Source organism: Homo sapiens, chromosome 10 (genome assembly GCF_000001405.40).
Source record: "Homo sapiens chromosome 10, GRCh38.p14 Primary Assembly".
NCBI lineage: Eukaryota > Metazoa > Chordata > Mammalia > Primates > Hominidae > Homo > Homo sapiens.
In genome coordinates, this window is record NC_000010.11 from 12,332,310 (window position 1) to 12,351,991 (window position 19,682).

A 19,682-nucleotide genomic window follows, 5' to 3' on the forward strand; every position below is an offset into this window, starting at 1 on the left:
CTTTCACATCATCATAAAGCTGAAAAATTCTAAGTTAGGCTTGGCGTGGTGGCTCATGCCTGTAATCCCAGCACTTTGGGAGGCCAAGGTGGGCGGATCACCTGAGGGCAGGAGTTCAGGACCAGCCTGGCCAAGGTGGTGAAACCCTGTCTCTACTAAAAATGCAGAAATTAGCTGGGCATGGTGGCATGCATCTGTAATCCCAGCTACTCAGGAGGCTGAGGCAGGAGAATCGCTTGAACCCAGGAGGCAGAGGTTGCGGTGAGCTAAGATCGTGCCACTGCACTCCAGCCTGGGCGACAAGAGCAAAACTCTGTCTCAAAAAAAAAAAAAAGAAAAATTATGTGTTAAATTATTGTAAGTAGACGACTGTCTGTACTACTATTATTTCCATTTTCCAGATATGGAAACTGAGACTGAGAGGAGTTACGCAACCTGCCGCCCTTGAAGCCACAAAATTAGAGCATGGTGGAGGCAAACCAGTGGTGCCTAATTTACCACTTGCTTATTACCACTGAAAGAAGAAATGACTTTCCAGGTGTTTTGGGTGCTAATTCAATTCTTTAAGTGCTTATTTAGGACCTGGCAATGTTTGTCCCCCAGGGTAAGGGGTAGGGTATCTTTAAAGGTGACAATTGGTATCCTTATATACAGGGGAGACTTTATCTCAGCTTTTATATCCATACAATAGAGTTTTATGTCTGGGCATGGTGGCTCATGTCTGTAATCCCAGCACTTTGGGAGGCCGAGGTGGGTGGATCACCTGAGTTCAAGAGTTCGAGACTAGCCTACCCAACATGGCAAAACCCCGTCTGTACTAAAAAAATACAAAAATTAGCTGGGCGGAGTCTGCAGTGAGCCAAGATCGCGTCATTGCACTCCAGCCTGAGGGACAGAGTGAGACTTTATCTCAAAAAAAAAAAAAAAAAAAAAAAAAAAAAACTGAGATAAAATCTCCCCTGTGTGTAAGGATACCAATTGAAATTAGCAACCAAAGCCAAAATTGGTGTATTTTGTTTTTCTGAGTGTACAAAACTTGGGATTAGAGGTTGGAAAATAAAAGATGTGAAACTACCCTTGGCTAGCATCCATCTGCCCCTTCTCTCAACCCTGCGTCATTTGTCACTTGCAGGGAAGGTGGAGAGAAGGACGAGATGGCAGATGGAGGAAGAGAGGACTCAGAAACCCTCGTTTCTTCTGGTTTGCTTCTGACTTGAACTGAAGCTCATGCCTCCTTGAACCTGGGAACAGTTTGATTTCTGGAAGGAGCTGCGTGCAGAAGCTCCTTTAAAACTTTGGGATCAAATTAAAACTTTGGGTTTTAGGTAGGCACAGCCACAAAAAAGTTGAAGCTGGCATGTCTTGTGCAAGGCTACCTATCAAGACAGAAATAGAAGTGGATCTCTGGCCTGGCCGTCTGGGACTGCGATGTCTCATTGTGGGGCCTGCCTGTAACTGAAGGTTCCGCATGAGTCACGGACTTCCCTGGTGCAGGGCAGCAACCCAGGGGCTTGGTAACTGGGTTGAGGGAAAGAGAGAAGTTTTTGTTTATGATCTCATTCCAATCAGAATGTGTCCAGACGCCCAAATATTTGATTTGAGCCTGGTTGCTAAGAGACCTCCCACTGGGACCCAGCTGCCTGCGGGCAGGAAGGCGGTATTGGCATCATTTCAGATTTCTGCCAATTTATTTTGAAACCAGAAAACCTAGAACCTCGGCCTCCTCAAGGCAACCAGGGGGAGAGGAGAGATCTGAGTCAGCCAAACTAGAGAGAGAAAACCCCCGCTAACCTTCTGCCAGGGAGCTGTAGGAAGGTTCGGGATAGAATAGAATGATGACATTGTGCTTGTTTACTTCCTGGGAAATAGGCCGGTAGGGTAATGAAGAAGAAGTTGGAGTTCTGTGCTTAGAAATGCAAGTGTCATCTTGAAGAAACCTCAGGGATTCCAGAACAATGCTGGATTTCCGGGTAATAATTGGGCGTTGTGAAGGCTGCCCTGATTGGATCCACACACCCAGCATCTTGGGTTTTAATTGCCCGGTGACTTAAATGCCTTAGGGAAATGGCATGAGTAACATTGTCATAGGTGAGCGTGTGCGGGGTCGGTGCACATGGGACAGGTGGGGAAACCTGCTTCTGGCTTCTCTCCTTTCTCAGCAGAAGGCAGATAGCTGAAGGGAAAAGGCTTCACATCTGTACTGGTATCAAGGAACACTGGGCTTTCCCATGCTAGTAGCAGCAGAACAGAACCTCTGGATGTGATCTCTGTCCTCAGTGCCACTCTCAGGACCAAGTAGTGATAAATACAGACCTAGACATTTTTCCAAGGTTTTTTTTGTTGTTACCTAGGCTGGAGTGCAGTGGTGTGACCTCGGCTCACTGCAACCTCCAACTCCCGGATTCAAGTGATTCTCGTGCCTCAGCCTCCTGTGCAGCTGGGACTGCAGGCAAGTACCACCGCACCTGGCTAGTTTTTGTATTTTTAGTAGAGACGGGGTTTCACCACGTTGGCCAGGCTGGTCTCGAACTCCTGACCTCAGGGCAGGAGAAATTGGATGTCCCAGCTCAAACAATCAGCCAGGAAGGGGAAAAAGGAGCAAATTCCTCTTTCCTCCAACTGTTTGCTCTATTCAGGCCCTCAGTGGATTGGTCGATGCCCTCCCACAATGGGGAGGGTTTTCTACTTCATCGTTACCCCGTGGTGCCATCAAGTTGACACATAAAATGAAGCATTGCAGTCCTCCTCTCAGTGACATTCTCTGGAGCAGGACAGCACAGCGGGTTTTGCTTTCAGATGGAAACTTATTGCAGGCTCCACTCTTTTCTGATGAGCCTTGTGATCTTGGGCAAGTTCTGATGCCTCAATTTCCCCATCTGTCAAAAGCTATCTTGCTATAGATTGTTATACCATACAGACATATGCACTCATATGTTCATCGCAGCACTATTCACAATAGCAAAGACATGGAATCAACCAGATGCCCATCGATGGTGGATTGGATAAAGAAAATCTGGAACATACACACCATGGAATACTACGCAGCCATAAAAAGAACAAAATCATGTCCTTTGCAGCAACATGAATGGAGCTGGAGGTGATTATCCTAAGTTAATAACACAGGAACAGAAAACCAAATGCTGGCCAGGCACAGGGGCTCACGCCTGTAATCCCAGCATTTTGGGAGGCCAAGGTGAGTGGATCACTTGAGGTCAGCAGTTCAAGACCACCCTGGCCAACATAGCAAAACCCCATCTCTACTAAAAATATAAAAATTAGCCAGGTATGGTGGTGCACACCTGTAATCCCAGCTACTCAGGAGGCTGAGGCAGGAGAATCGCTTGAACCTGGGAAGCAGAGGTTACAGTGAGCTGAGATGCCATCACTGCACTCTAGCATGGGCCACAGAGCGAGATGCCATCTCAAAATAAAAAGAAAACCAAATACTGTATGTTCTCACTCATAAGTGGGAGCTAAACATTGAGTACAGATGGATAAAAAGGGAACAACAGAGAGCAGGGCCCACTGGAGGGTGGAGGGTAGGCAGAGGGTGAAGATTAAAAAACTACCTATCATGCCAGCGTGGTGGTTCACACCTATAATCCCAGCACTTTGGGAGGCCAAGGTGGGCGGATCATTTAAGGCCAGGAGTTCGAGACCAGCCTGGCCAACATGGTAAAACTCTATCTCTACTAAAAAAAAAATACAAAAATTAGGTTTGTTGCGGTGGCTCATGCTTGTAATCCCAGCACCTTGGGATGCTGAGGTGGGCAGATCACGAAGTCAGGAGTTCAAGACCAGTCTGACCAATATGATAAAACCCTGTCTGTACTAAAAATACAAAAATTAGCCCAGTGTGGTGGCGGGCACCTGTAATCCCAGCTACTCAGGAGGCTGAGGCAGGAGAATCGCTTGAACCCGGGAGGCGGAGGTTGCAGTGAGGTGAGATTGCACCACTGCACTCCAGCCTGGGTGACAGGGCGAGACTCCATCTAAAAAAAAAAAAAAAAAGTTAGCTGGGTGTGGTGGTGCATGCCTGTAATCCCAGCTACTTGGGAGGCCGAGGCAGGAGAATCGCTTGAACCTGGGAGGTGGAGGTTGCCGTGAGCTGAGATTGTGCCACCGCACTCCAGCCTGGGTGCCAGAATGAGACTCTGTCTCAAACAACAACAACAATAATTTTAAAAACTACCTATCAGTTGTTATGCTGATTACCTGGGTGACAAAATGATCTGTACACCAAACCCCTACAACATGCAACTTAGCCATGTGACAAACCTATGCATGTACCACCTGAGCCTAAATTAAAAGTTGGAAAGAAAAAAACCCAAGCTATACTGAAAGAAGTATTTGTTGGGTTTGAAAAGGATGGGTAGTAGTTTGGTGTTTGGAAAAAAAAAAAAAATCAATGGAGAACAGGAGGGAGCTTTAAATTAAATATGGAAATAGGAGACAGAGGGGCAGGGCCTGGATCCAGCACCATGTGGGCCACACAGGAACCAGCTTGTAAATCCTTTGACTTTGATTTTTTTTTTTTTTTTTTTGAGAGGGAGTCTTGCTCTGTTGCCCAGGCTGGAGTGCAGTGGCGTGACCTTGGCTCACTGCGGCCAACTTCTGCCTCCTGTTGTTCAAGCAATTCTCCTGTCTCAGCCTCCCAAGTAGCTGGGATTACAGGCACATGTCACCACGCCTGGCTAATTTTTTTGTATTTTTAGTAGAGATGGGGTTTCACCCTATTGTTTAGACTGGTCTCGAACTCCTGACCTCAGGTGATCCACCAGCCTTGGCCTCCCAAAGTGCTGGGATTACAGGCATGAGCCACCATGTCTGGCCTGGATTGACTTTGAAGGGCTCAAATCAAGTTTGCTTGACTGGAAAAGGATGAGAAAGGAGATGCATGCACAATTCCATGAACAGTGAAGTCTGGAGGCCTAGAATGAATAGTTTGAATGTAATATGGAAGGTAATGGAGAGTCACCAATGCAGTGCTCAGCTGGGTCTCATGGTTCCAGAAGGCATGAAATCAGCAGCCTCTATCATTTCCATCTTGCAGACCAGCGAAAGATACCCTCAGCAAGTGAAATATACTTAAATCCAGGGAGAATGCCCTTCAATAAATAAGCTTTTGTTGGTGAAGTCTGTGTGCTGAGAACATCTGCAAGACATATTTAAATTTGTTCCCCAGTCTTTGGTTAAATAGACTATGTCATCCGAGGTACCAATGACTGCTTCCACCAAGAAAGCTATGATGTCAGTGGTGTGGCATGGTGATGTCATCACAGGATCCCTTAGACTCCAGACCAGACCAAAAGAGAGAGTTTGTTGTCGTGAATGCAGATATCCTTGCTAATGAGGAACATTGGCAGGGAGGAGAAGGCCACTCTAAATAAGATGAATTGCGGCAGACGGAGGGCCAAATTCTGCATGGAGATCTTGAATATTCCGCAGGCTGTTCAGCCAAAATCTGCCTCTTAGTTTTTCAGTAATGATAGATGACAAAGCCTGGGGTAAAAATAAATCCACTTGCGTGTTAGTTGTTTCTGGCTGGTTCAGCAGGAAACAGCATCGTTAACCTTCAGGGGACTGGGGGATGCTTGAGATCTGGAAGCTGGGGCCTCTTTAGGGGGAATGGTTGGGGAAGGCTGAGGGGCTACAGAGTCACCCTGGGCTAAGTTCCTCCTCACTGTTCTCTTTTCTTAGTTACTGTGTAAATTTAATTAGGAGAAAGGCTTTTGTCCAGGCTGGTAATTGAAACATCTTTCTTAAATGTGTCAGTTTAAGGCCAGCAATTGCATTAGGTTGGGTACCTACATCTCATTCCGAGTGCAGTTGTCATCCAAGCACCCCACAGAAAGGTTTATGTCCATCTGCGGCATAAATTCCACAGAAACCTCAATTGGTGAGCAGGGGAAAAGCAGCTGGACCTGGAATGCTGAGAGGCACTTAGCTTTTGCCCTGTAACATTTTGGATGGGTACTTTCCCTTTACCCTTCCTCCTTTTTCAGAAACACTTGGAGAAGTAAAAGACCCACAGTGGCCCAGTAGTGGCAATATCTTTTAAAAAAATTAAAGAGCTACAAGTAATTCGCCTTTATAAAATATTGGTCTTTACTTATAGGTCTATAATTTATTTTTTATTATTATTTTTTGAGACAGGGTCTCATTCTGTCACCCAGGCTGAAGTGCAGTGGCGCAATCTCGGCTCACTGCAACCTCCATCTCCCGGGTTCAAGCAATTCTCCTGCCTCAACCTCCTGAGTAGCTGGGACTACAGGTGCCCGCCACCACACCCGGCTAATTTGGTATTTTTAGTAGAGACGGGGTTTTGCCATGTTGGCCAGGCTGGTCTCGAACTCCTGACCTCAGGTGATCCACCCACCTCAGCCTCTCAAAGTGCTGTGATTACAGGTGTGAGCCATTGCACCCGGCTGGGTCAATAGTTTAAATAAGAAAAGTGCTATGTGTTTCTGGTGCTAAAGTCCAAAAGTTTGGGTTTAGAAGAGTTAATGTCTACAGTTCCAAGGCATTCATAGGGAATAACATACTGGCAGCATCTTGCTAATTAATAGATTTTCTTCAGCTGGAAAACCCCTGCCAGAAACAAGAATCTTATGATAGTCCAAGATTATTTACATCTAATATAAAATGTGCCCATCTAGTGGAAGTGTTGTGGGTGGATGTGTTTTTACTAGGATATTTTTTCCTTTGAAACCATTCATTTTGTAATCCAGGCAAAGAACAAAGAGCCAGATGTGACAGCTAGTAAAAAAAAAAAAAAAATGCATACTATTAATACCTTATGTTTATCTGCTGTCTTTCTTCTAAGAAGTCCAAAGTGCTTTGCAGATGCTATCTCATCCCTCTCTGTATGTTATCACCATCTGAAGAAGGGCTGGAAAATGCCTGAAGTCAGGGAGTATGTTAGATGTCAGATGAGACTTGGTTCTTTTATTCTGCACAATGCCTTCCTCTAGTTTGTACTCTATATACAGTGCACCATAGCATCGTGGGACATAGCAAGATGCCTTTCACCTAAGTCATGCTCAAAAAAAAAATAAAAGGCCGGGCGCGGTGGCTCACGCCTGTAATCCCAGCACTTTGGGAGGCCGAGGCGGGTGGATCATGAGGTCAGGAGATCGAGACCATCCTGGCTAACAAGGTGAAACCCCGTCTCTACTAAAAATACAAAAAAAATTAGCCGGGCGCGGTGGCGGGCGCCTGTAGTCCCAGCTACTCGGGAGGCTGAGGCAGGAGAATGGCGTGAACCCGGGAAGCAGAGCTTGCAGTGAGCCGAGATTGCGCCACTGCAGTCCGCAGTCCGGCCTGGGCGACAGAGTGAGACTCCGTCTCAAAAAAAAAAAAAAAAAAAAAAAAAGCAAGAAAACAGAAAACCCCTCTTTTGCACCCACTTAGTTGTTTTGCCATAGCCCTAAGGCAAAAGCCTGAACAAGCCAACAGCTCTCACCAGACTGAACGAGGAAGCCAAATACTTGTTGGTCTGTTTTCTGCGTGAGGCTGTCTGCAAAGTCCTTCTGCATGGTGTACCTGCCCACTCAACAGTAATACGATTCCAGGGGCACGGCTCTACCGAACTGGAGTCAAGATTTGGGAACTGACCCTGACTATCCCTGAGACTAATGCCAGGAGAAATGCCCCCATAGTAGATTGCATTTCAGAATCTTGGCTGATTACACCATCTCTGGCAAATCCTTTGGACTTGAAGATTTCTTAATGACTAAGAATTGAAATCCATTACTAACATCCAAAGTAGGAAGGGAAGCAACTCTGCAATTTCCTCCTGAGCTATTGAGCTGAATTCCTTCACAGGTGTGCAGAGTTCTACTGTGGCTAAGGCTGTGCCCTGTGGGGGCACAAACAGAAGAAAAAGCACAGGCAAAGACATAAAAATCAAAGACAGGTCTATCCTTCGCCATAGTCTAGGTTTGGTTCCAATCACCAAATCTTAGATTTGGGATTAGAAAAGCAATCCACTACAAGCCAATAGGTTTCCTATGGGTGACAGAGCCATTGCTGAAATGGAGGGCAGGGTATTGCTATGTTTTCAACCCTGATTATCACACTCACTGAAGCACTTAACAAAAATTTTGGTCCAAAGGAAGGACCCCCGAGGCCTTTCACCAACAGACCCTTCCCGTTTTCTCCAGCCCCATTGGCTGCTGCCCCTCCATGCTCAATGAACTGTAACCCTGGTACACAAACCACCACTTCCTGAACACAGAGCTTTAGGTGACATATTTGTGGGAGTCATTAGTGCTGGGGTTTGCCAAAGATTTCTGGCTTTTGACCTTCTGCGCACATGATGGGATTGCACTGCCGGGCCCCCTTGAGTGCAGCTGGTCAATAACTTGTGAGAGGACGTGATGGGTATCACTTCCGGGACAGGGCAGTTAATTGCCAGTTCAAGACCTGGATTGAGTTCCTGCCATAGCGACTAGCAGAATTCAAGAGGGCGGCTGACCTGCCCGCACCTGCCCAACCCATTTATGATGGCAGTGAGAAACAAATCTTTGGTAGTATAAGCCACTAAGATTTGGTGATTGGAACCAAACCTAGACTATGGTGAAGGATAGACCTGTCTTTGATTTTTATGTCTTTGCAAGTGCTTTTTCTTCTGTTTGAAATCCACACCTTCCCTTCCGTGCTTGGCAAATTCTTACTGATCCTTCCAGTTTATAAGTAATTTTTTTTTTTCTGTGAAGCCTCTTCTGACACCTCCAGGAAGTTGGCCCTCTCTAATCTGTGCTTCCCCACGGCTCTCTGTGCAAACCTCCGTTGTTACCTTAATCGCATTTTATTCTTGCTGTCTACTTACATGTCTGCGTTCCTTTTTTAGATGTTAACATCTGGGGGGCAGGAACTGTGCTTCATTCATTTTTCTGTTCACAGTGTCTATTTCAAGTACAAGCGAAAAAATGCCTGAGAGAGAAATTAAGGCACTCCAGCAGTTTAGGGGATGTAGGTAAGGTCAGCCCACAGAGTTAGAATTCATAGTCTCAATGACCTCAGATATACCAGCTCGGAATTTACCAACTATTTGAAGATATTTGTTAAAAGATTGGTTTCTCTCCTTGCTTCAGCATTATCTGTCTATAGTTCAAATAGTTCAAAATAAACTAAGAACATCTTACAATCAGCCTCCCCTCTCCTGATAATGGCACCTTTTTATAGGAAAAAAAAAAAAGATCTCAAAGTTTGGAGAAAACGTTCCTGGGCAGTTTTCTTGAGGCCACATGGTCGTTTAGGCCTGGCTCTGCTTATATGAGGAAGCATACTTGTTGATTTAATGCCCTAGGTTTTTATAAATGCACTTATGCACATCACCACATGCACCTCCCTCAGCTGTTTGAAATATACTATTAAGATGTAATGTAAAGTGATAAGATTCTGTTTCAATGTCTGCTGTAGAAAAAGTAAAATTCAGTTCAGGGTAGAAAATTAGGGGAAATCCCATTTTTGTTTAGGGCTCGTTCCTCATATAAGAGGCAGCATATTTACTGTTGTAGTGTCCTTAATTTTATAAACGCATCTGTGCATATCACGAAATTTGTCAGCTGGGTGCGGTGGCTCAAGCCTGTAATCCCAGCACTTTGGGAGGCCGAGGCAGGTGGATCACGAGGTCAGGAGATTGAGACCATCCTGGCTAACACGGTGAAACCCCATCTCTACTAAAAAATAGAAAAAAATTAGCCGGGCATGGTGGCGGGCGCCTGTAGTCCCAGCTACTGGAGAGGCTGAGGCAGGAGAATGGCGTGAACCCGGGAGGCGGAGCTTGCAGTGAGCCAAGATCACGCCACTGCACACCAGCCTGGGCGACAGAGCGAGACTCCGTCTCAAAAAAAAAGAAAAGAAATTTGTCTCATTGAGTTGTTAAGAATAGACTCTTAATTCTAATATGAACTGACAAGATTGTGTTTCAATGTGAGTAGTAAAATGTAGGTCTAGGAGAAATTCTGAACTATTTTCAGGCCTAAGGTAGACAGATACAGGTTAATTCTTCTACTTAAATATCCAATGGGATGTGTTCATTTAAAAGTTCCGTGAGGTCTGAGAAAATGAAATAAAAAAAATGGTTTGGTTAAGAAAAATATATACATTTGGAGATTTTTTAAAGAAGTCATTTGATTCTCTTATTTTGGTTTTGAACAACACTCCTCTTTCTTCATTAAAAATCCCTTTTATGGTCAAGCGTGGTGGCTCATGCCTGTAACCCCAGCACTTTGGGACCCCCGAGGTGGGCGGATCGCATGAGGTCAGGAGTTCGAGACCAGCCTGGCCAACATGGTGAAACCCTGTCTCTACTAAAAATACAAAAATTTAGCTGGGTGTGGTGGCAGGCACCTGTAATCCCAGCTGCTTGGGAGGCTGAGGCAGGGAGAATCACTTGAACCCGGTAGGCAGAGGTTGTGGTGAGCTGAGATCGCGTCATTGCACTCCAGCCTGGGCAACAGAGAAAGACTCCATATCAAAAAAAACAAAACAAAACAAAACAAAAGAACCCAAAAATTTTTACATCATGGTGGACATCTATTGTGGTTGTCTCCTTGACATCCATTTCTCCTTCTTCTGTTAACAGCTGTTCAGTGTTAATCTGGTGCCTTTTATTTGAGTAACATTTTGACAGAGATTTGTGAACTGACCCTGGCTATCCCTGAGACTAAGCAGACTGGCCCAGCCTGGGTTTCAGTTACTCATGCTGGGTAACCTGGGGTATATTACTGAACTTTTCCAAATCCCACTATAAATGGGACCAATGATATTATCCACCTCACAGGATTAATGTGACGATTAGTAAATAAAAATGGGCTGGGTGAGGTGGCTCACATGTGTAATCGTAGCACTTTGGGAGGCTGAGGCAGGAGGATCACTTGAGGCCAGGAGTTTGAAGTTACAGTGAGCTATGATTATGCCACTGATTTTTTTCACCAATATACGTGACTCGTTTTTTTTTTTTCCCTGAGAAAATGGAAGGATTATTTCTTTGGAGATAAGTAGTTTTACTAGGACATATCTTGATATTAACCACCCATGTATTTTCTGATACATAATGTGCCTCTTCAGTCTGTGGATTTAAGCTTTTATTTCTGGAAGATTTTCTTGAATAATATCTTTAAATACTTTTTATTGCTTCATTTCAGTCTCTTCATAAGGTATCCCATTTGTGGATAAATTGAGCTTCCTATTTGTTTCATATAATTTTCTAGTTAATCTTGCTCATTCCCATCTTATTTTCCCCCCATTTTTGATTGTGTTCTCTATTTCTTTTGAGTCGTTTTGTTTTTTTTTTTTTTTGCAATTTTCCTTTTGCCCTTTTGCCATTTCCAATGTAGTCTTTATATCTATAGTATTTTATTTCTTGCCTCTTTTTTTTTTTCTGCTCTCTCACTGAGGCTGGAGTGTAGTGGCATGTTCATAGCTCACTGCAGCCTTCACTTTCTGGGCTCAAGCAAGCCTCCCAGCCCAGCCTCCCAAGTAGCTGGGACCACAGGCGTGTGCCACTACACTTGGCTAATTTAAAAATTGTCTGTAGGGATGGGGTCTTAGTATGTTATCCAGGCTGGTCTTGAACTCTTGGGCTCAAGCAATCCTCCCATCTTGGTCTCTCAAAGTGCTGGGATTACAGGCATGAATGAGCCATTTCACCTGGCCTTTCTTTTTTTTTTTTTTTTTTTTTTTGAGATTGTCACTCTGTCTGTCACTCTGTTGCCTAGGCTGGAATGCAGTGGCATGATCTCGGCTCACTGCAACCTCTGCCTCTTGGTATCAAGTGATTCTCCTGCCTCAGCCTCCCTAGTAATTGGGATTACAGGCGTCCGCCACAACACCCAGCTAATTTTTGTATTTTTAGTAGAGATGGGGTTTTGCCAAGTTGGCCAGGCTGGTCTCGAACTCCTGACCTCAGTCCATCTGCCCGCCTCGGACTCCCAAAATGCTGGGAATACTGGCATGAGCCACTGTGCCCGGCCCTTGCTTCTTTCTTGAGCAACTCCAGCTGATGTTTGAATTCCTTCTATTGCTTTGCCCCGTCTTCCCTGAGCAACTGCATCTTTGCTTTAAATTCAATATTTTAAGTTAAAATAAATTATGACATGTTTGAACACAAATTTTATCTATTCTCCAGCAAAGTTTTTCTTGTGTTGTTTCTCCACTGCTATTTGTTTCCTATTTCTTTGCTTTTTTTTCTTCCTTCCTTCCCTTCTTTTTTTTTTTCTTTCTTTTTTTTTTTTTACTAGGCCTGCATTACCAGAGCTCCCCTCCGGCCTTTTTTTTTTTTTTTTTTTTCAATTGGAGGAATTTCATAAAGATGTTGTGCTGTTGATTTTTCATCATCTTTGAACTAGATGCATTCCTGCATGAACAGCTGCTTTCAAGAGGTTCATGCTAAGGAGCGGGCCCTGGACTTCCAGGCTAGCTGGAATTCTCCTTGGGTGATGCTCAGTTTTCTTATGACCCAGGTTAGAAGATTCCTTTAGTCTTTACCTCTTCCAAAAGAAATCTGAAACTACAGTGCTGAGTTCTTTGTCTTCCTGTTGCCTCAGTGACAGACTGCTTTTTGCAAAGGTGGCAGTTTTGTGTGATTCCTCATTTAGTTACGTGTTTCCTTGGTGTAGATTCTAGTGCACACCATCAACAACTTATGTTAACCAGCAGTGTATAAGAAATGAGCTCCAGTAACTCTCTACTATTTCTAGGAACTGAGGACACAATTTAAGGTGCTAACAGTTTTTACAGCATTTGTGAGAAGAGCCCCACCCACCCCCAACTTAAGAGTGTTGTCAAACAATATATTTAATGGAGAGCATAATGCCCAACTTATTTTATTTTATTGAGACGGAGTCTCCCTCTGTGTCCAGGCTGGAGTGCAGTGGCGCGATCTCCGCTCACTGCAACCTCCACCTCCCAGGTTTAGGTGATTCTCGTGCCTCAGCCTCCCAGGTAGCCGGGACTACAGGCGTATGCCACCATGCCCGGCTAATTTATTTTTTTATTTTTTTGAGATGGAGTCTTGCTCTGTCACCAGGCTGGAGTGCAGTGGTGCGATCTCGGCTTACTGCAGTCTCTGCCTCCCGGGTTCAAGCGATTCTTCTGCCTCAGCCTCCCTAGTAGTAGGGACTACAGGCTCGTGCCACCATGCCCAGCTTTTTTTTTTTTTTTTTTGAGACGGAGTCTCCCTCTGTCACCCAGGCTGGAGTGCAGTGGACGCTCTTGGCTCACTGCCAGCTCCGCCTCCCGGGTTCACGCCATTCTCCCGCCTCAGCCTCCTGAGTAGCTGGGACTACAGGCACCTGCCACCACGCCCGGCTAATTTTTTTGTATTCTTTTTTTTTTTAGTAGAGACAGGGTTTCACCGTGTTAGCCAGGATGGTCTCGATCTTCTGACCTCATGATCCACCTACCTTGGCCTCCCAAAATGCTGGGATTACAGGCGTGAGCCACTGCGCCCGGCCAATTTTTCCATTTTTAGTAGAGACGGGGTTTCACCATGTTGGCCAGGCTGGTCCTGAACTCCTGAGTAGCTGGGATTACGTCTCTACTAAAAATACGAAAAGTTAGCCAGGTGTGGTGGCACGCACCTGTAGTCCCAGCTACTCAGGAGGCTGAGGCAGAATAATTGCTTGAACCCGGGAGGTGGAGGTTGCAGTGAGCTGAGATCACGCCACTGCACTGCAGCCTGGGCGACAGAGCGAGACTCTGGAAAAAAAAAAGTTTGTGTCTTGGCCAGGTGCAGTTTCTCACCCCTGTAACCCCAGCACTTTGGGGAGTTGAGGTGGGCAGATCCCTTCAGGTCAGGAGTTTGAGACCAGCCTGGCCAAAATGGAGAAACCCCATCTCTACTGAAAGTAGAAAAATTAGTCAGTTATGGTGGTACGTGTCTGTAGTCTCAGCTACTCGGGAGGCTGAGGCAGGAGAATCGCTTGAACCTGGGTGGTGGAGGTTACAGTGAGCTGAGATCACCGCACTCTACCGTGGCGACAGAGCAAGAATTTGTCTTAAAAAAAAAAAAAAGAAAATAAAGAAAAAAAAGAAGTATGCTTTTTCTTGAGGACCTCGTCCAGCTTAGAATAGCTTGATAATGCCAAATGAACATCATTACAGAAAGTCTGGAAAAGAAATAAAGCTCCCTACAGCAGTTCCACCAGTACAACAAATACCAAATAGCGGTCTTAACTCGATTTCATTTCTTTCTTTTTTTTTTTTTTTGAACAGAATATCACTCTGTTGACCAGGCTGGAGTGCAGTGGCATGATCTCGGCTCACTGCAACCTCTGCCTCCTGGGTTCAAGTGATTCTCCTGCCTCAGCCTCCTGAGTAGCTGGGATACAGGCGCACACCACCACGCCCGGCTAATTTTTGTAGTTTTAGCAGAGACAGGGTTTCACCATGTTGGCCGGGCTGGTCTCATACTCCTGATCTTAGGTGATCCGCCTGCCTCTGCCTCTTAAAGTGCTGGCATTTTACAGGCGTGAGCTGCCACGCCTGGCCTCAATTTCATTTCTTTATCCATTCGACACACATTTACAGATCAGTCAGTATGGGTAGGTTACCGTGTCAGGTGCTGGGAAACAGTGGCGAGAAAGTTAACAGGTGCCTTGCTCTCATGGAGCTTATAGCCTGGTAGGAAAAGTCACGGCCACAGGCCACGTGGAAGTTCTCATTTGCTTTCCCTTCATCTTTACTGTTCCTGTAAAATTGCCTTCTTTCTTTTTTTCTAATGGTTATTTTTATAGATTTAGGGGTACAAGTGCAGTTTTGTTACATGGATATATTGCGTAGTGGTGAGGTCTGGGCTTTTAGCTTAACCATCACCAGAATAGGGTACACCATGCCCATTAGTTAATTTCTCATCCCTTCCCCTACCCCACTCCAATGTCATTATTCCACACTCTCTGTCCACATATACACATTATTTAGCTCCCACTTCTTCTCCTTTTTTTTTTTTTGAGATGGAGTCTTGCTCTGTCGCCAGGCTGGAGTGCAATGGTGCAATCTTCGCTCACTGCAACCTCCTAGGTTACAGTGATTCTCCTGCCTCAGCCTCCTGAGTAGCTGGGATTACAGGCATGTGCCACCATGCCTGGCTAATTTTTATTTTTAATAGAGTTTCACCATGTTGGCCAGGCTGGTCTTGAACTCCTGACCTCAGGTGATCCACTGGCCTAGGCCTCCCAAAGTGCTGGGATTACAGGCGTGAGCCACCATGCCTAGCCTTAGCTCTCACTTCTAAGTGAGAACATGTGGTATTTGACTTTCTGTTTCTGAGTTATTTCACCTAAGATAATGGCCTTCAGTTCCAACTGCGTTGCTGCAAAAGACATGATTTCATTCTTTTTTATGGCCGGGTAGTAGAGAATCAGCACTTCTTCAGCTGTGGGGATAATAGCTGAGAATGAGAATTGTTTTCATGAGCTCTGGCGGCTGTTCCTGAGGCCAGGCAGCAAGGGCAACATAGCAGAGAACCAAATAGGAAAAGAGGAGAAGGAAACACAGTGGGAGGAAGGGAAGGAGAAAGAAAGGACAAGAAGATGCTGACTGTAGGCATGAGAAAGCGACAGTTGGGATCTTAGTTGACTTATGCCCTGGTTCCCACTGTTTGTATTATCTAACCTTTGGCACAAGTAAAATACATGATAGTTTTTCAAATGTTTCTTATTGAAGGGGATGCTGTTTGCCTTGAACTTTGGTAATGTGCCTCAAGTATAAGAGAGGTTCCTTAGTAATTCTTCTCACCCATCCGTGTTGGAAATTGGGTTTGTGGATTTATTCTACATCTAACCGGCAAGTAAATCCCCTCTTTGCTCTTCTCAGTTTGGAAAACCTTAAGCTAACCGTCTTTGAAAGATGGAAACTAGCATGGAGGTCCCAGGAATGGGGATGCCAGGGTGTCGTCTGACCTCTTTAGGGTCAGAGTAGGGGCTGAGGGAGAGCAGCTGGGCTGCCTCCACTTCAGCCAGAGTCAGAACTAGGCACAAGGTGCTGGATGAAGTTTCCTATTCAGGGAGCAGATTTTTTTTTTCCTTTTACAGTGAAATTGGAACAGTCCTGGGAAAATGGGACAGGTGTCCCCAGTCAAGAGACAGAGCTGTTTACCCAACTACGAGGAGAGGCCCTGAGGGAGGCGAAGTGTTGATACCAAGAAATCTAAAATTTTCCGATCAAGAGGTCGCCCCTGCAGGTTGGGGACCAGGGAACTGGAGCACGTGGGCTGCCCTCTGACAGGTGGACACCAGGAGTGGGGCGGGCAGGCCAAAGTACAGCTGGGAGATGGGAGTCCGGAGGGAATTCTCTGGGTTAGTTTTGGCAGTCCATAGGAAAGCAGGTGCCTGCCCCGCAACCCGGACACCCTACTAAGCCAGCCGCGGGTGGGCTCCTCCTTCGAGGGGACTGCGGGGCAGACGATCACTTCTTTCCACTGAGTCTCTGGGAGGAGACAGGGAGATGCCAGAAGGGGCCAAGCGTGAGCCAGGGCAACCAGGCCGGCCAGGCCCGCCGGCCGCTCCAGCCCAGCACCAGGGCGCCCGCGCGGCTGCCAAACACCCCCGGGAGTTTTGCTCGCAAAGGGACCACGAGGCAGCTGCTGGCGCGTCCTGCGCGTACCCGCCCAGAGGCTCCCCGGCTTGCTCCTCGCGGGTCTGTCCCGAAACTGACGTGAAACCGATTTGGTGCAATGCGAATGAGCTCCCGCCCGCCTCCGCCTCCATCCCAGCCGCCGCCGCCGCCCGTCGCCATAACAACCGGCCCCCACCCCCCCCACCCCACGCCTTGCCCCTCGGGTCCCCCGGGCCACAGGCCACAGCGCGGGAAGGCGCCCCGCCCTCGGCGCCCCGCATCCGGCCGCCGCGCACCCCCGCCCGCCCGGCGCTTCCGAGCCACGCAGAGGCGCCCCCTCCCGCCGGAGACGGGAAAGCCCCGGCGCCCCCAGACTGGGCTCCGTTTCCAGCTCCCGGAGGGGCTGGGGCTCTCCCGCGTGCGCCCCGCACCTGCCGGGGGCCCGTACCCGCCCTCGCCGGGGCTCCAGGGGGCACGACGGCCGTGGCCCGGCGCTCTTGGGAGGGGAGCGGGACATCCCCGAAGGCGGCGCGCTGGAGGCGGGGAGCGGCCGGGGCGCACGGAGAGGGCGGGGAGCCCGCGGGAGGGGGAGGAGGGGGAGGAGGGGGAGGAGGCGCGAGGTGGGGGGGAGCGCGGCGGGCGGCAGGGAGGGAGCGGGAGGGAGGCAAGAAAGTAGCAGAAAGTGAGGCTGGCAGGCGGCGGCAAAGGAGCCGGCGCGCGGCGGCGGCAGGAAGTCTGTGCCCGAGAACAGCAGAAATAAGAGCCAGGGAGGGACCGCGGCCGCGGCGGCGGCGGCGAGAGCGAAAGAGGAAACTGCAGAGGAGGAAGCTGCGCCGCAGCCCGAGCCGCCCGGCATCCCCGCCGCCTCTGCGCCCGCGCCGCGCCCCCGGCGCCCCCTCCCCAGCGCGCCCCCGGCCGCTCCTCCGCGCCGCGCTCGTCGGCCATGGCCCGGGAGAACGGCGAGAGCAGCTCCTCCTGGAAAAAGCAAGCTGAAGACATCAAGAAGATCTTCGAGTTCAAAGAGACCCTCGGAACGTAAGTGGGGACCGGGGAGGCGAGGGTGGAGGTGGCCGCGGCAGGGGCTGCACGGGCAGCTCCAGCTGCCGCCGCCGCCACTACCGCGGCAGAAACCCAGCCTGTCACCGCGTCCTCATTGTCCCGTTCTCGGCGCTGCGGAGCCCCCCCGAGCGCGCCCGACGCGTGGGCCTGCGACCCCCGGGTGGGCGCCGTTCCCGGGAGGGGGAGGGGGCAGCGCCGGGCTGTCAGGGAGCAGCCCACGCGGGCGCGCGACTTCCCACTTCTCCTGCCACCGCCGCCCTCTCCGCTGCCTTCTCCCCACGCGTGACTGTGGGCTGAGCATGGTGGGGATGGCTGTTTACCGGCTGTGTGCGTTTACTCGCCGTGTGCATGGGCGCACCGCGTTGGCGAGACGTGGTCACGAGAAGATCAGCCTCCAGTCGTTCCCATTTCTGTCCTTACATCATGTATTTCTATGGAATTGGCATCTGCACGTACGAGGTGTAGGCAAGACTTTGGGTGGCCACGCGAGGATGGAAGGGAAGGGCTTCGCAGTGCTCAGGGTCACACGTGGGCAGAGCCTCACCGGAGGGTCTGTGCATTTCACGCGGGCTCGGCCGCACGCGCCGGGGAGCGCGTCTCCAAGGGAGGGTCTGTGCGCGTCGCTGCGCGGGCGGTGCTCTCTCCGGGCTGCATCGAGTCCCATGCTGATGGCTGTGTCTCAAGAAAGCAGAAATAATCCGAAGTCGATGGCAGGAACGCTCCAAGCATGTGCTGCTCAGCTCAGCTGCTGTTCCCTTTCTGCCCAGGAGTTGGGTCTTGTTTGTTTTGTTTCGGAGCGGCTCAGAATAGGTGGGGAGGCTGATAGTGAAAGAGAATCAGGACCTGCCGAATGAGTCTGAAGTTCAAGTTATTTCCTTCCCTCACACAATCAGTATTTGCTCTGCATCAGTATCTGTCAGTGTGGATTCACGCACAGGTGTGCAGTCAGAAATGCCCATTTTGCAGGGGTTCATGGAGGTGTTGATTAGGCTGGGAAGAGAAAGGGGAGCTATTTCATGGGATAAATCAGTGCGTTGTTGGGTGCCCTTTCTTTCCTTCCTCCTTTTTTTCCGTGTGCTTGTTTTTGTGCTTGGTTTCTTTTTTCCAGCACCACATTACCCAGCTTGTCTTCACCTCCAGGCTCGGCGTCTGCTGCTGTTCAGTCATTTCCCCTCACCCCCACGCAGATCTGCAGGGGGTCCCCCGGAGAGAAGTTGTGAGGGTGGCTTTCCCAGTCCTGCTTCTGATTCCCGGGAAGGCGCACGCTGAGGACTAGAGTGGGGTCTCCCTGCTGTGGTTGTTGCCTTTCAGGGAGGGCACCTATTTGCTATCTTTGTTGGAATGAAAACAGAAAAAGATGTAGCTTTTTAATAAATAGGGGTTTGGGGTTGCCTCTTAGTGCAGCCAGGTAAGGGGTTAGTTTGGGTCAAAACTTTTGAAAATTGCCACTGAGGTTTATTCGGGTTTGGGGTTGTGATTCTGAGATGCTCAAGTTACTGAGAGACAAGAAAGCATGGCCTTTGCTTGTCATCCAGGACCCGCACTGTGGCCGCCAATGAGGAGATGGGAGAGCATGGGGACCCACCCTGTGTGAATGCTTTCCTGTCCGTGGCTTGTTCCCACCCGAGCCCCCCACACTGGCTTCCTGCCTGTAGCCTCCGGGTGACTGATGCCCTGTCCCCTGACTGACTCGTGCAGCTGCACCTCTGCAGTGGCGGGGCTGCTGAGGCTCCAAGCTGTGGCTCCTGCTGGAGCATGGTGTTTGGAGATGACTGTGGGTGGTTTCCACCTTGGGGAAAAATGGGGATTTGCCCTCTGGTGCCAGAGCGCTTCTCTGGCAGAACAGCCTCTTGGACTCCAGCCATGTTCCCTGTGAGCTTTGGGAATGGGTCTCTCTTAGGGTCCTAAAGCATTGCCTTCTGCCTGGGATGGAATTCTTTGCAAAGGAGCTTCCCACTGTAGCACTGGCATTGGACCTAGAAGAATGATAGAAACAGTGTGATGATCAAGATGTTTTTACTCCACATAATAATCATGGTAATCATAGGTGGTATTCT

General features: G+C 48.5%; 1 protein-coding gene across 4 annotated transcripts in view, besides 6 other annotated features; it reads left to right on the forward strand.

Annotated features, from left to right (window-relative positions):
* Positions 8,716-8,765: an enhancer, noted in NCBI's record as "active region_3039". NCBI's record gives its function as "activates an Ori minimal core promoter by ATAC-STARR-seq in GM12878 lymphoblastoid cells {active_cell/tissue: GM12878}" and the evidence as "EXISTENCE:reporter gene assay evidence [ECO:0000049][PMID:35858748]".
* Positions 16,397-16,656: a silencer, noted in NCBI's record as "silent region_2141". NCBI's record gives its function as "represses an Ori minimal core promoter by ATAC-STARR-seq in GM12878 lymphoblastoid cells {active_cell/tissue: GM12878}" and the evidence as "EXISTENCE:reporter gene assay evidence [ECO:0000049][PMID:35858748]".
* Positions 16,697-17,256: a silencer, noted in NCBI's record as "silent region_2142". NCBI's record gives its function as "represses an Ori minimal core promoter by ATAC-STARR-seq in GM12878 lymphoblastoid cells {active_cell/tissue: GM12878}" and the evidence as "EXISTENCE:reporter gene assay evidence [ECO:0000049][PMID:35858748]".
* Positions 17,238-19,682, forward strand: part of CAMK1D (calcium/calmodulin dependent protein kinase ID) — a 485,999-nt gene continuing 483,554 nt past the window's right edge. For all 4 annotated transcript variants that reach the window (XM_006717483.5, NM_153498.4, XM_006717482.4 and 1 more), the window contains exon 1: positions 17,238-17,601. In XM_006717483.5, coding sequence (XP_006717546.1) covers positions 17,510-17,601 — 92 coding nt within the window. In that variant the 5' untranslated portion in view covers positions 17,238-17,509. The remainder of the gene's footprint in view (positions 17,602-19,682) is intronic.
* Positions 17,427-17,516: a silencer, noted in NCBI's record as "silent region_2143". NCBI's record gives its function as "represses an Ori minimal core promoter by ATAC-STARR-seq in GM12878 lymphoblastoid cells {active_cell/tissue: GM12878}" and the evidence as "EXISTENCE:reporter gene assay evidence [ECO:0000049][PMID:35858748]".
* Positions 17,553-18,052: an enhancer, noted in NCBI's record as "H3K27ac hESC enhancer chr10:12391861-12392360 (GRCh37/hg19 assembly coordinates)". NCBI's record gives its function as "activates a minimal SCP1, AML or CMV promoter by ChIP-STARR-seq in naive H9 embryonic stem cells {active_cell/tissue: H9 hESC(naive)}" and the evidence as "EXISTENCE:reporter gene assay evidence [ECO:0000049][PMID:30033119]".
* Positions 18,227-18,386: an enhancer, noted in NCBI's record as "active region_3040". NCBI's record gives its function as "activates an Ori minimal core promoter by ATAC-STARR-seq in GM12878 lymphoblastoid cells {active_cell/tissue: GM12878}" and the evidence as "EXISTENCE:reporter gene assay evidence [ECO:0000049][PMID:35858748]".